Genomic DNA, 14,744 nt, shown 5'->3' with positions numbered 1-14,744 from the left:
GCAAAACTTTAAAGCCAGGCCCTTTGACTCCAAGTTCTGTTTTATGCCCCAGGAGCCTCCCCATGCCCCCCTGCACAGCATGTCCCCTCTCCAGGCATCTCTCTTCCCTCTGCAAAATGAAAGGGTTAGCACAAATAACGTCTCGGAGGCAAATACAGGGGGTTCAGGAGTAGGACCCACCCTGCCTCTGTCCACCCATGCCCATGGCCTAAGAGGACACAGCTTAGCACAGCAGGTAAATGTTTTGTGACTAATTTTTGTAAACACCTTTTCTAAACCTGTTTCCTCTGTTGTCACTGAGTAATTGGTGTTCTGCGTCTCTCTCTCCCCCCATCCGCCTGACCACTCCATGGTTCCCTTCTCTCTCATATGCTTCCCTGCACACCCACACCTCCCATCTCCCCCGACGCCTGGCCCTGGGGTGCCTCGTCTGGTCCTGACCACACCCCCACCGACCCCTCCTGCCACCTGTCCCTTCTGCCTCATTCCTAGGGCTCTGGCCTAAAGGACACTCACAGCCACTATGCAGAGCTGGACACCTCTGCCCTGGAACTCGTGCCAGGGCTGCGGACCCCCGTGCCAGGGCCTGCAGAGGCTGTGGAATATGCCACCATCCAGTTGAGCCCACCCTAGCTCATAACCCCTAGCCACCCACCCCTGCTTCTGGACCACAGGTAAACCCACCCACCTCCCTCCTGCTCTGAGAGCCCCTTCTTGCCCTTCCTGGAAGGGCCTGCACCCTACCTGCTGGGCTTGGCAATGAAAGGGTGGGGGAGGTGGGCAGGGGCCTGGTGAGAACAGGAGAAGAAATGTGGACCAGGAGCCAGAGGGCAGGAATGTTGTTCCATTTCTGCCATACACTGTTTCCCCTCTCTGAGCCTCAGTTTTCCCACCGGTGAAACCTAAATCAAGTCTAGGGCCCCTTCCTGTTCCAACAGTCCTCCTTATCCCTCTGTGGGCCCCAGAAGTGGCCTCACTCCCTGCATCCCAGCCGGCCCCTTAGGCTGGTGTCAAACTCCTGAACTCAGGTGATCCACCCGCTTTGGCCTCCCAATGTGTTGGGATTATAGGTGTGAGCCACCACGCTGGCCTCCACTTCATTTTCTTACCAAGGAGCCCCCAGGGTCAAGGCTGCACACCCACATTTCCTCTTGACCCCCCGGGCCAGCTGGACAGTTGAATTCAACCAACCTTTATTGAGTGCCTGCTCATTCCAGGCCCTGCCCAGAGGGCCCAGGGTCCAGGGGAGTTCCTAGCCTTGAGGCACTCTCAGTAGAGTGGCCAGCTCGGGACTTCTAAGTCCTGGGCTGAAGGGGAGCCCACAGGCTCTGCAGGGATGGGTGGTGAGCAGGGCTGTCTCTACCGTGGGCCCTGGAAGATACTGCGAGGTACACAGAGGCCACAGTGCAAAGACCCCAGGCAGTGTCTGCGGGACGTGGTAAGATCAGAGGAGTTTCAGCAAACAGGTGACCTCCCTGAGAGCCAAAGGAAGGTGAAGGTGTCTCAGACTGAGAAACTGGAATTTGAGCGCTGGGGACTCAGGCCAAGGGGCCACATACGGTGAGGAAGCCTGGCCTCGGCCCTTGTGCTGAGTGGTTTGGGATGAGCAGGGTGGGAGGGGAGAGAGACGGGGACAGAGACAAGGACAGGTGGAGGAGACAGGACTGCTGGGAGGGACATGATGGCGCTGAGTATAAGAGGGGTCCCATGGGTCCAGGAGCCAGCAGGTCCCGAGACGGCTGGCACAGGGGGATGGGCCCAGGAGGGGCTTCTCTGGTGGCCCCTACAGAACCTTTCCCACCCACCAGGAGAGCCCGCTGGGTCCCAGGACCCACAAACAACAGAAATCTGCTCCCCACTTTCCAGTGTTCCCCACCCCTACTACATCTCAACCACCTCCTGTCCTCCTGTGACACGCCATCCTCTGCCACCTCAACAGAAATGTGCTTAGCCTCAGTTCCCCGCTTAGGTATGGAGGAGTGAAGAGCAAGGGGCCCGAGGCTGTCTGTGCAGCATCCTTGGAGAACCTGGTGTGAGAACCAGGATGTGTCCCTGCTCCAGCCTGTCCTCTCCCTCGCCAAAGAAGGGGTGCTGTGGGCATGAGGAAGGGGCCGGGTGCCAGATGCGGTTCCTCCCCTCCCCAGCCCCTGTGAAAGGAGGCATGCTTGGCTACTGCAGCTCCTTGTAAGGTCTGGGTCCCGGGAGAGGCCAACGGGAGGAAAGCGTGAGGCTTGGAGTTGGGGAGAGAGTCTGGGGGGCCAGAAGAAAAGTCATTAATCCCATAAACCCTAATTTGGACCTCCTCCCAGCCTCTCTGAAGTACGTGGAGTTGGAGTGGGTGTAATCCCAGGTGCCCCTGAAGGAAACTCAAAAAAGGAGGGGTCTACTGCTGCCCCCTCATTGGCTTTCACTTGCTGCCCTGAACCCCAGAGAGGCCCTCTGTTTGGGTGCAGGGTCTGAAGGGCACTGGAACAGGGTGCCAGGACAGGGGAGGCGTTGCGGGGAGCTGAAGGGGACCTGAGAGTGTGGGGGATGGGAGAGCAGTGCAAGGCACTGGGTGGGGTAGGCTTGGGGGATTAGCTGGGAATTAGCCCTTCCTGCCAGGCAGCCCGCCCCACCACGCACTCTCACTTCCCTGCTTGGCAGCCCCACAGGAGGAACCAGGATGTCAGATAGGAACAGGTGCACCGCCATGCGGCAGACACCCTCCCCCATCCGTCATACCAGCCCCCTCGCCTGGGGTGCAAGCCTGGGTGATAGATCCCAGAAAAGTCCTGGATGTGAGCTCCTCACCTCCCCCTGGCCCCATCCCCAGGCCATTGGATAAGGCCTCAGCCAGGACCTCACTGGAACTTCTGGACCATTGGACACTGAGAGTCAGCCCATGGCAGAGCCAGAAGGGCCTCCCTGGGAACAGAAAGGGGATTTGAAGCTGGGGATGGTGGGTGAGGAGCTGCTGGGCCCAGCCTGTCTCTCATGTCTCCCCTGCCCCGCAGTGGCACACTCAGCCCTTCCCCCTCCTGGCCTTCCCTGTCTGCCCACAGCATTTCCTTTCCCTCAGTTCTTCCCACCAGCCGCTCCCACTCCCTCTCCCAGATCCCTGTCTCCCGGGTCCTCATGCACACATCTGTTTCCCTCCTTGTGGCTGCCCCCCTCTCTCTCCAAATCTGGCTTCCCCTGCCCTTTCATCTCCCCCTTCCCCTGCACTCTCCCCACTGAAGCTGCTGGTTCCAGAGGCCGGGACTTCAAAAGGAGATCAAAGCTGGGCTCCCCCATCAAAGACCGGGCTCTGCCAGGAGCAGCCCCCTCCCATCAGACTGTAACTCTCCCTGACAGGCCAGAGTCCTGCATTCCAGCCCCCTGGGAAGCACATCATCAGCCAGCACCCGGTGCTGGACAGACCACTGTGCCCGGGGGAAAGCTCCTGGCATGTGTGATTCAGGGAACCAGCTGGAAAGCTGACACAGCCAGCCCCTTTTAGGCTGTGTGACCTTGGGCAAGTCATTGACCCTCTCTGACTCACAGTTACATTAGGTTTTAAATAGGGCTATTATGGAGTTGATTGTGTTGCTGAGTGAATTAAAGGAGAGAAAGCAGGTAAAATATCTAGTGATCCGCCTGTTTTATAGCAGGTGCTCAATGAATTGCTGCTGTTAACACTACTGCCGTTACAAAGCCCTCTGCATGAGCGCATGTGGAGATGAGAGCAGAGGTGCTGGGAGGAAGGCTTGCTGCTGCCCTGAAGGGCAGGGGGACCCTGACATCCCCAGTCGGGGCCCCTCTCCACACAGAGGCTCCACATAAACCCCATTCTCTAGGCCTGGGCTTTGCAGGATGTAGTGGCCACTTCAAAGTCCCCATTATCCCCATTACCCTCCCCTGCCAGGCACTGGGCTCTCTCCCCATACTGGATTCCTCTGCCCAGGCCACCGCCTCACCCTCAATCTCTGGCCCCAGTCCTCCTCCTCGAGCTCAGCCCAGCCCCACATCCCTTAAGGGAATAAAGGCGTCTGGATGGGGTGGGAGGTGGGGCTGAGAGGCCGAGGCTGCATTTATGAAACTTTTCTTGGCTCTGAACATCAGGGAACTTCAGAGACGACGTGACTTGAGTAAGTCCCTAAACCTCCCAAAGCTTGTTTTCTCATTTGTAAAATAAGGGGTTAGCTGCCTCAAATCCTCCTTAGGAAGCAGACTGTCTACATGGTAATTTTAAAAAACCAAGGAGCTAGAACTCAAAGATCTCTGAGCTCCCTCAGGACAGCAGGAGACGAGGAGGTGCCGATCTCCAGTCTGCCCCGCTTCCCACAGGCGGAACACACCCTGTGTCTCCCTGGGCCCCACGCAGCCCTGGGACACAGACCTTGTGGGTCCTGTGTCACCGAGCAAGGGACTGAGACTCGGGAGGGGAAGGAGCCTGCCCAAGTCACAGCAAGCAGAGGCAGCGTGACAAAGCGGACCTAAGCCTCTCTCGGGCTCTCTCTGCCCCGCCACCTGACTGTGACAGTCCTCCGAGGTTGTAAATGGGCACATGGAAGCTCAGAGCTAAGATACGCAGACAAGGCTCCAACCTGCACCCCCGCTCATGTCCCCAGGCCCTTCCTGGGCTCCTTGGATGTCTGCCCTCTTCCTCTGATGCCCCTCCCTCCTCCCGTCCCAGGGCACCCCATGGTAGCACCCCACACATACACTGGCTCCCACCCAGCTTCCAGCTCCTTGACCCCAACCCCCCACACCAGGGCCTCCCCCTCCCCCAGCTTAGGGGCTGAACCAGTGTCATCCAGGAGAACAGCCTGATGGAATGTTCCACCTCTGTGCTCCCCATACATAGCCACTAGCCACAGGAGCCTATGGAACACTGGAAATGCAGCCAGTGCCACCGAGTAACCGGTGTTGTCGTTATGTTAATGCTAATGTTCTTTAATTTTCATTTCATTTAAACATGGCTACAGGCTGCCATACTGCACAGCGCAGATAGAGGCATCACCCGAATGTCTGGTCTCTGCCCTTCTCCTCTGCAGACACCTGCAGCAGTGGAACATATTGGGTGGGCAAGAGCAATTCCTTGCTCCTGAATTCCCCAGCCCAGGACAGTGTCCTCAGCTGAGCGAGTGGAGTGGGAGCACACCCTGAGAAGAGAGGTGCCGCAGCGCCCAGTAGGCTCCTGAGTCTGGGTGTGCAGCCGGGGAGCCCTGGAAGCCTGAGCACCCTCCCAGGCCTTTGATGAGGAGGCAGGAGGGCCCAGGCTCACCCATGGAGGGGGCTTGGGAGCCTGGTGGCCACAGTCTTCTGTCAACCTCATGGGAGGCCAGGCAGGCCAGGGTCAGACAGGGCCAGAGGCCTTCCCCAGAGCCAGCCACTCTTGTCCAGTCCTTAGGCCTTGGAGCCCTGGCCCCAGCTGTGTTTAGAGGGCAGAGCAGAGGCCGGCTGCCTGGGCCCTCCTGTCCTGTCGGACCCGGGATAACCGAGGCGGGGGGTGGGGGGGTGGGGCTCCCCCTGCTGGACAGCCTGGGAAACGTGCCCCCATGCCATACGCAGGGCTGGGAGCCCCTCTCCAAGCTAAGCTCCCCCAGGGAAGCTGCCTGGGACTTCAGGTCCAGCGTGGGTGACAGGATGGAGTGACCAGGACCCAAGACATCCCCTCCAGGGCCTAGGGTGGTGGGAAGCCAAGTGGAGGTCAGTACAGGACCCCAAGTGAACACACCACCCCATGCCACCCACACCCTGCCCAGACAGAGTGCCCTTCTTTTCCCTCCCTGCCTTCCTCTGTCCCCGGCTCCTGGTGCAGGGGAGGGATCAGTCACGGGCTTTAGAGTTAGGCAGACCTGATTTCAAACCCTGCTATGCCACTTACTTGTGTATGACCTTGGGCAAAGGGGTGGAGCTTCCTGGGCCCACTGGGAGGGGGGGATGGACAGGGTGAGGGGATTTCAGGATGCGCTGCTTGCAGGCCTGGCGGGTGGTGGGCAACCATAATCCCCAGCTGTCTTCCCCACTCTCCCCTCTTCCTCTCTCTTTCCCTAGAACTCCAGGGTGAGAACAGCCACCCCCAGGACCTCCAGAGCTACCCTGACATCTGGGAAGACCACGACCTGGGGCCAGCTGCCCACCTGCCACCCCAGGACCATTTCCTCCAGCCTCTTTTCACTGGCCTCCCTGGGCTCTGCTCCTTCCTGTAAGGGCACTTGTGGACAAGACTGTCCCTCTCACACACACACCCTGCCCTTACCTGCTGCCTCCAGGCCAGCCTGGGACAGAAGCCCCATCCTATATCTCGGTTCCCTCCTCCCAGACCTCCAGAGCCCCCAGGCTCCACCTCCCTCCACCCCGATCACGGGGATAAACCTGTGGGGTGAACACCTGAGCGTGACTCCCGCGGGTGAACATGAATTCTGAATGGGAAAGGACAGGTGTGCCTGAGGGTGCATAGGTGGGCACCCCGCCACTGCCACACACTCTCATCCTCTCACAGAGGCTACCAGACTCCTCCTCCATCTCCCAGGCTCAGCACCAGCCTAGGCTGCCAGGCCTGAGCCTCCTGCCCTTCCTCTCCTGCTGGGAAGCTGAGCCATTAGCAAGAGGCAGTAGAACCCAAGAGGCAGCTCCCCCCCCCTTCCAGCCACCCCCAAATCACCTCCAAACTCTAAACCAACATCCGTCTTCCTACGCCCTATTATCTCAGGATCATGCCTTTAGAGGCAGATTATCTAAAGGGGCCAAGGAACTCAGACCAGAACGTAACCTCTTCTGGGCACTCAGAGCTTCGGACGTCTCCGCTGGGCCGAGTCCCTTCGCCGACCATCAGGGCCGAGGAAGTCCAGGAGGCTTGGAGGCTCCTGGATTGTGAGGGGGCTCCTCCTGCTGGGGGTTACGAAGCTTCCAGGCCAGTGCTGTTCTAGCCTGACTCTCCTCCAGCTGGGGGAGAGCAAACCCAGGAAGCCATAGAGAGAGATTCCCATCTTCCAAACCCTCAGGCCTGGCACAGGTGCATCTCCAGAGTGAGCCCAGTGCATCCTACAGTCCTATAAGGCCACCATTGCCCTCACTACCTCACCCCTGCTCGCAGGCTAGCAGCCCCCGTGTGAGCTGGGAGGGAGTGGCCAGAGCACTGGGAGTCCAGCCATCCCCTCTCTCTTGTGCCAACAAAAGATGCAGGGAAGAGACCGGATCTCCAATGGTGGGGACAGGAGCCGGCACCCTCAGGACAGCTCAGGAAAATTTCAGTCCCAGGTAGAATAAATCTCCTGTCAGGCCAGACACGGTGGCTCCCGCCTATAATCCCAGCACTTTGGGAGGCTGAGGCAGATGGATCACCTGAGGTCAGGAGTTCGAGACCAACCTGGGCAATGCGGCGAAACCCAATCTCCACTAAAAATACAAAAATTAGCTGGGCGTGGTGGCACGCACCTGTAGTCCCAGCTACTCAGGAGGCCGAGCCATAAGAATTGCTCAAACCCGGGAGGTGGAGGTTGCAGTGAGCCAAGATTGCACCATTGCACTCCAGCCTGGGCAACAGGGCGAGACTCCGTCTCAAAAAAGAAAAAAAAAGTATCTTGTCCCCCATTCTGAGTTTCATCTGGGCCCCCAGAGGCTGAGGAGGATTTGGGGGCCTCCACTCCTCCCATACACACTTCTCTTCTCAAGAGTCCCCTCAAGATCTATTTTCAGGATCAATGGGAGATGGAGCCCTACCCTAACAGAGAGCCAGAAAGCTCTGAAGGAGGAAGGCCCAGGGCAAGGCCGGGGTAATAGAAGTAAGTGGAGGGGAGGGGAGGGGACTCAGAAGGCTCTCAGTCTGGGCTGATATAACCTGTCTGGCCTTGGACAAAAAAGGCTTATCTGTCATCAATATTTCCAGCCATCTTCCCAGCGTCTAGCCCTAGCCAGTGCCAACCAGAGCTCAGTCCTAACCCCCAAAACTGAACTATGGGTCCAGATATGAAACGCGTAGAAAAGGCCACAAACTCACCGTCCCTGCCCACATGCAAACAGACTTGTACAGAGAAGGTCACAGCCCTGGCAAGGCAGACCCAGCATAGTTCTGCTGACGGTGGTTCCATTTTTTATAAGGAAGAATGGGTCAGTGTATCATAGTCACTAAATCCTGCTTTCAGCAAGGCATTTGTTCAAATGCAGACAAGATAGAGAAATGTGGGCTGTGTGATACATCTAGGTGACCCCAAAGTATCTGGCCCCCAGTGCTGTGTGCGGTGTTGCCAGGCTCTCTCTTTGGCCTGGCTCTTTTCAACTCATCATTTCCTTGAATGAAGAAATTATGCTCACGGAAGCTCTAAAACTGAAAGAGAGATAGTTGAGGCTGGGCACGGTGGCTCACGCCTGTAATCTCAGCGCTTTGGAAGGCTGAAGCGGGAGGATCACCTGAGGTCAAGAGTTTGAGACCAGCCTGGCCAACATGGTGAAATCCCCATCTCTACTAAAAATACAAAAATTAGCCGGGCATGGTGGCATGTGCCTGTAATCCCAGCTACTAGGGAGGCTCAGGCAGGAGAATCGCTTGAACCCGGGAGGCGGAGGTTGCAGTGAGCTGAGAGACGAGATCACACCAGTGCACTCCAGCCTGGGCAACAGAGTGAGACCCTGTCTCAAAAAAAAAAAAAAAAGAGAGAGAGTTGAGAGGGACTAGGAATGTTCTGTAGAGTTAAAACAGAAATCCAAAAAGTCTGTAAAAGGTGGAAGATTAGATCAAAACCAAAAAATAAAGTGTAACACAGATGGATATAAAGTTCATTATTTAGGCTCAAAACTCGGCCACTGACATTTAGAATTAGAGATTTCCTGTTTGGTTCCAGTTCATATAAACTATTTCATTGACCTCATGTTAAAAATGAGTGAACAGCTTTTCAGGTTTGCTTTAAATAGTAGGTGCACCCCCAGCTAATCACTGAATTAGCTGTTCAGTGATTACATCAATGACCCCAGTTTGTTTTCCTGCTTGCTTGCATGTTTATTTTGTTTTGTTTTTTAACACATTTCTGTTCTGTTAGCCTTAATTTGTCCTCTTGGCTTTCAGGTTAGTTCCCCTCATGGTCATAAGATAGCTGCCACAGTTCCAGACATCACATATCTGCTCAAATTTCTAATAGAAGAACAGGCCAGCCCTTTTTGTATCTCTTTTTAAAAGAGAGGAAACCTTTCCCAGAAGCCCCTACTGGGCTTCCTCTCTACCTCGTTAGCTAGAATTGTGTCGCATGCTCATACACTCGCCTAAATTATCCACGGGGAAGAGAAATGGGCTCACTATAACTCTTTGGATCAGTTATGAAGGAGGGTGAGTACTTAATTAAAATCAAGTTCTCTAGCCTGGGCAACAGAGTGAGACCCTGTCTCTACCAAAAAAAAGTAATTAGCCAGGTGTGGTGGCACCTGTCTGTAATCCCAACTACACAGAAGGCTGAGGCAGGAGGATCGCATGAGCCTGGGAGTTCGAGGCTGCAGTGAGCTATCACCACACCACTGCATTCATGCCTGGGTGAGAGTGAGACCCGTCTCTAAAAAGGAAAAATAAATAAAAATAAAAATAATTAGGTAATCAAAAATTCCTTCCCTAAAGGTAATGAACTCTCCATCATTTGAAGCATTCAAGTAAAGACTGAATAAAACCTGTCAGAGGTATAAAAGGAGATTCTTACAATGGATCAGAGTTGGATGTGACAACCCTGAGGTCCTTTTCCATGTAGTTCACATGTACACACATTTCCTCAACAAGGGACCATGGCTCAAGATCTCATGAAAGGGCTTAGTGACTAATTAAATACAACCCCCACACCCTGTGACCACCCACTTAGTTTCACACTGCTAGTCCTTCTCTTCTCAAAGACCCCATCTCTGTTTCCTCTCCACCACCACATCTCAGCAGCTCAGGCTGTCCCAAGAGACTTGAGTGAAGACACAGGCAAAGACAGAGCAGGGGCTTCCGGGCTGAGCCTCCTGCCCAGGTGTGGACTCTCTGGACCCATCCAGGGATGAAATTAACACCCACAGCAACAGACATCGGTGCAGCCGTTGCTGTGCATGAGGCACAAGGGACCTAAGGAGAACTGGCCATTTGAGTTCCAACTCAGAGCTTGCAGTGAAATTGGAGGGAGGAAGACAGGATACATGATGGAACCAAAAAAATCATTCTATTTCTATAAACCACATGTGAAAATCAGCCAGATTTCTTACATCTAAGTAGAAAAGTAGTAATCCAAGATCCACACTCAACAACAGATGAGTGGGGACAGGCAGAGGCACTCTGGGGACACTGAGGAAGGACAGTGATGTTAAAAATAATAGAGCTTGGCGCTGCGGCTCAGACTGCGGCTCAGTCCCAGCACTTTGGGAGGCCGAGGCGGGAGGATTGCTTAAGTCCAGGAGTTCGAGACCAGCCTGGGCAACATAGTGAGACCCTGTCCTATTAAAAATGATAATAGTAGCTGACAATAAAAACAAAAGTGGACATTTCCAGATATGGTCAGATTGTCCTTGTTTGGCCAGTGTCACCAGCAGCTGTGTCCCCATTAGGGGGCCTGGGTGCCCAGGGAAGTTAAGAGGAGATAAGCTCCCTCTGTTCCTGTAGATCTCTGCCCACCTCACCTCTGATGAGATTGTTATATCCTTGCTATCTATAAAATAGGACATTATAATGTTTGTTAAAAAAAAAAAAAAAAGTAACTCCCAAATTTCTGAGTTTCCTGTGTGTTGGGGCTGGGGCTAAGAACTCTATGTACATCATCTAATTTAATTCTCAGTAACACAGATGATCTCTTGATGTCCCTTTAAAGCTTTGGGGTCACTTTCAGTATTCAGATAAAAACAGTTCCATGCCGTACAGTCTCCAAGATGCCTAAGAATTGCCAGGACCTGGCATTTTCATGATTTCCTCTCATTCTGATTTCCTCTTCTCTCTCAATCCTGTTCTGACTCTTGAGTTTATGCAATTTTTTGGGTTGTTTTTTGTTTTTGTTTGTTTTTTTCTTCTTGTTGACCTACAGAAGAGGAGATACCAAAACCAGACTTGGGAGACAGGGGGAGTCCAGGAAGGCTTCCTGGAAGAAGTGGCAGATGGGATCTGTCTCGTCCTGAATTTTCTCCCAAAATGTTACTAACCTATGGCAGAACTTGTAAGATAATTTTCCTAGAAGTTGGGGAATAGGAGGGACCTTCTTGAAGCCTAACAAGTGACTCGAAATTTAAAAATCAGACCTCTTGCTCTTGCCAGTTCCTCCTGAACCAGTCACATCTTCTGGGTTCTGTCTTCAGCCTCTGCACTCCAATCCCGTGGCTGACCCCCCTCTGCCATTTCCGGGTTCTCATTGCTTCCTGCTGAAATGGCTTTTGTCTTTGGAGAAGTTCAGCCCCATTCTTTGGCCTTCCCAGTTTCACTCTGGTGGGTAGAGAGCTTTATCTGACACAATCAATGGGTCATTTTCCGGAACAAAGATCCCTGTCTCCCTGGCAGCAATGAACGCCTTTCTCTAGAATACAAAAGCAGCTAGAGACACACACTTGACTCACAGCAATCGATGAGAAGCAGGGATCGCCATTTACATAAGAGGAGACTGAGGCATAGAGCAGGTAAGAAGTTTGCTGAGGCTGAGATCACAAAGCTGCTAAGTGCTGACATCTAGATTTGAAATAGGTCTGTGGGCTCCAGACTATCCCTCTTAACTGTGACACGAGCTTTCAAAGAGGTGAGGCTTGAGGAAAGCTTGGAGGGAGGGAACAGACAGACAGAGAAGCCCAAGGCATGAGGCAGAGCCCAAGACCTGCTGAGCCCATGGGAGTGAGCCGGGGCAACTGAGGCAGGGAGCCTGGGAGGAAGCCATCACTGAGGCGGGCAGGAGATCAGCGGGTGGACTGGAAAGCAAATTAGGAGGAAAACCTAAGGGGCGATTGGGTCAAATCAAACAGAAGGACTGAGTGTGGGGGCTGACAGAGAAGGAGGAATCAGGAGTCCTGTCCAGGTTTCTGACCAGCAACTGGAGAGATGCTTACTGAGACAGTGGCCATGCGGGAAGGCGGGAGGGGTGTTCAGAACGTGCTCAAGTTCACACATGTGGGGATGGAGATGCTCTTAAGCTGCTGGGCTGTTTCTCCTGAGACAAGCCCACACTGGAGCGGCCAGCAGCCTACAGATGGTAATTAAAGCCACAGGGAGGATGAGCTCACGCAGGGAGAACGCGTGGAGGGAGGAGGTGAGGACTGGGATCCACTCGAGAAGCACCCACAGCAAAGGGGGCGGGCGACCAGCGAAGGAAAGCAAGAAGCCAGCCAAGGCCAAAGCCACAGGCACCGGCGGGGTTCCGCCTGGGACCTGAGGCTGGACTTCCAAGCAGGCAGCGGCCCACATGGCCAAATGCCATGGGAGGCAGAAACGTCCTGAGAACAGCAGTTGGATTTAGAAGTGGTAAGGGGGTGGATTGGAGAGGGGACTTGGTGACTTTGTAGACCACTGGTGATGCCACTCAGAGGAAAAACACCTGGAAGACCACTTGCTTAAAAAAAAAAAAAAAAGTGAATGAGAGAGAACATCAGACAGCAAGGAACGCTAATCCTCCCAAGATACGAGTTGGGGGAGAAAAGATAAGACGTGATCTGAAGAGACAGCTGGGGCCAAGGGAGAGAGGGTTTTGTTTGTTTTGTTTTAAGTGGGAGAGTTGAGCCAGTGGCTGTGAGTGAAGAGGGGAGGTACAGAGCAGAGGTGAAGATTCAGGTGGAGGCAGAGATCGCGGCTCAGGAGCAGAAGGTCCCACCAGCCTCTCCTAAAGACACGCTCTGTCAAAAACATCCAAATCGATAGAAATCCACGAGAAGATCAGGGCCTGACCGTGAGCCATGGTCTCAGGAGGGTCAGAGTAGGAGTGAAAATGGCTTCTAGTGGAAGGAACAGCTAAGGGCTGGGGCAGCAGTTCTCAGGAAATACAGTGGCATCCTGTCCTTCTGGGCCACCCATGCCCCCTACCCCAGCACAGGGGCCACAGAGAAGCTCTCTGCCCACCCCCTGGAGGCTGCTTGTCTGGTCCTTGCACCACCCACATGGGCTGCCCCTGCTGGTTTAGCATGGGCCTGGGTTTCTCTCTCCTTATGCTCTCTGGGGCTTACCTGCATGCCTACAACTTCTACCTGAAGTCACCCTGTCCCCTGGCCTGGACATGGAGTATCCCAGCTCCTGGCTCCTCCATTCAGAGCAGAAGGTGTCCCAAAGCCCTCATATCCAAAGAAACTGAATTCTTCCTTGAGCCTGCCCTCCCCACAGCCACTGAAATGTGTCTGCAGACCCGGCTCCCCCAGCCTCTCTTCCACGTCCCCAGGCTCGGTGAGTTCCACCAGCGATCCTGTTCCTACACAATGACTACAACAGTGGCCGTGCACTGAGCCCATGCCACTCACTGATCCATTCCTTTGTTGAATACTCCTGGAGCACCTACCACGTGCCTGGTGCTTTACCGATTGCTGGGATGCAATGGGGAGCAAGTCAGATTTGTCCCTGCTCTTGTGTGGCTTGAAGCCTTCCATCTAGCATTGTGCTAGACACTGCTTGTGTTATCCTCTTTATCCGTACAGCAGCCCTGTGAGACAAGCATTACTACCACCATTTTAGAAAAGAAGAAATCAAGGCCCAACATGGTAAGAATTCCACAGCTTATAGAGAGCAGATCCTTAACCCACCATCCTGGGAGGCTCTGCTTCCTCCACCCAGGGTTGACTCAGCTTCTTTAAGCTCAGGTTCCCCAAGTTCTCTTCTAGAGTGACTCCTCTCCCCTCTTCACTCCACTGGAGGTAAGGGTGCATTGTTTGAGTCTGGAGACTGAGGTCTGAGGCCTGGCTCCTGGATCATGGCTGAGTAACCTGGAATGGACTATTTATTTCATGGCTCAAAGCCCAAGTCCCCTCCTTGGTAAAATGAGTAAGGATGATCCTCCAGGACCTGCCCTCCCCAGATAGGCGCTGGGGGGATTACATGAGGTCAGAGATGTGAAAGTGCTTTCAGAGGCACTCACAGGCAAGGGGTTATGCTTATGAAAACTTTCTCTAAGCGGAAGCCCTGGCATCAGCAAATTACATATTAACGTGTGTTGAGTCACCACACTTCCTGTCCCAAGCTGTTTATACTGGGAGTGCTTTGCTAGCTGTGTAATGAAAGGTTTTTCCTCTCCTAAAGGAATTTCAGGTGTCTCCTAGCAGGCAGAGGAAGGAATCAGGGGCCTTCCTTGCACCTCTGAAATCATAGCCCAGAAGGCTGAGACTAGCATTTGTTGAGCATTTAGTATATGCCAGGCACTGGGCTAAGCTCTTTGCACACAATACCTCATTTACTTCTCATAAACCCTTAAGATGAAAATACTATCCTTACTTCACAGATAAGAAAATGAATGTATCTGAAGCCACAAAGCTTTGAAGTGGTGAATTGAGGACTTAGAGCTAGGCCTGTCTGACTCCAAAACTCATGCTTTTCCCAGCCCTGCCCCGAATCCCTGCCAAAAGCGACCTCCTCCAACTGCAGCCTCAGCACCGACACTCTGATGCTCACTGGTGTGCCTCCTGCCCGCCTCTGCACCACACAAGGAGCTCTTTGAGGACAAGGACTATGTTGAACTCATCTTTGTATTTCCAGCCATCAGCACAGTGCCAGGGCCAGGGACGGCATCAACAAACATTCTGCTGAATGATTGAATGGTCAAAGAATAACTTTTTCTTAAGGACAAAATCGTGACTCTGATACCAATAACCTATGTCAAAAATTG

General features: G+C 53.8%; 5 annotated features.

Annotated features, from left to right (window-relative positions):
* Positions 898-1,773: an enhancer, noted in NCBI's record as "H3K4me1 hESC enhancer chr11:119498707-119499582 (GRCh37/hg19 assembly coordinates)". NCBI's record gives its function as "activates a minimal SCP1, AML or CMV promoter by ChIP-STARR-seq in primed H9 embryonic stem cells {active_cell/tissue: H9 hESC(primed)}" and the evidence as "EXISTENCE:reporter gene assay evidence [ECO:0000049][PMID:30033119]".
* Positions 5,278-6,152: an enhancer, noted in NCBI's record as "H3K4me1 hESC enhancer chr11:119494329-119495203 (GRCh37/hg19 assembly coordinates)". NCBI's record gives its function as "activates a minimal SCP1, AML or CMV promoter by ChIP-STARR-seq in naive and primed H9 embryonic stem cells {active_cell/tissue: H9 hESC(naive and primed)}" and the evidence as "EXISTENCE:reporter gene assay evidence [ECO:0000049][PMID:30033119]".
* Positions 6,153-7,029: an enhancer, noted in NCBI's record as "H3K4me1 hESC enhancer chr11:119493452-119494328 (GRCh37/hg19 assembly coordinates)". NCBI's record gives its function as "activates a minimal SCP1, AML or CMV promoter by ChIP-STARR-seq in primed H9 embryonic stem cells {active_cell/tissue: H9 hESC(primed)}" and the evidence as "EXISTENCE:reporter gene assay evidence [ECO:0000049][PMID:30033119]".
* Positions 11,283-11,870: an enhancer, noted in NCBI's record as "H3K4me1 hESC enhancer chr11:119488611-119489198 (GRCh37/hg19 assembly coordinates)". NCBI's record gives its function as "activates a minimal SCP1, AML or CMV promoter by ChIP-STARR-seq in naive H9 embryonic stem cells {active_cell/tissue: H9 hESC(naive)}" and the evidence as "EXISTENCE:reporter gene assay evidence [ECO:0000049][PMID:30033119]".
* Positions 13,051-13,640: an enhancer, noted in NCBI's record as "H3K4me1 hESC enhancer chr11:119486841-119487430 (GRCh37/hg19 assembly coordinates)". NCBI's record gives its function as "activates a minimal SCP1, AML or CMV promoter by ChIP-STARR-seq in primed H9 embryonic stem cells {active_cell/tissue: H9 hESC(primed)}" and the evidence as "EXISTENCE:reporter gene assay evidence [ECO:0000049][PMID:30033119]".

Source organism: Homo sapiens, chromosome 11, assembly GCF_000001405.40.
Source record: "Homo sapiens chromosome 11, GRCh38.p14 Primary Assembly".
Taxonomy (NCBI): domain Eukaryota; kingdom Metazoa; phylum Chordata; class Mammalia; order Primates; family Hominidae; genus Homo; species Homo sapiens.
Note: the sequence above shows the minus strand (reverse complement) of the source record. Positions and strands in the feature narration are given on the sequence as shown.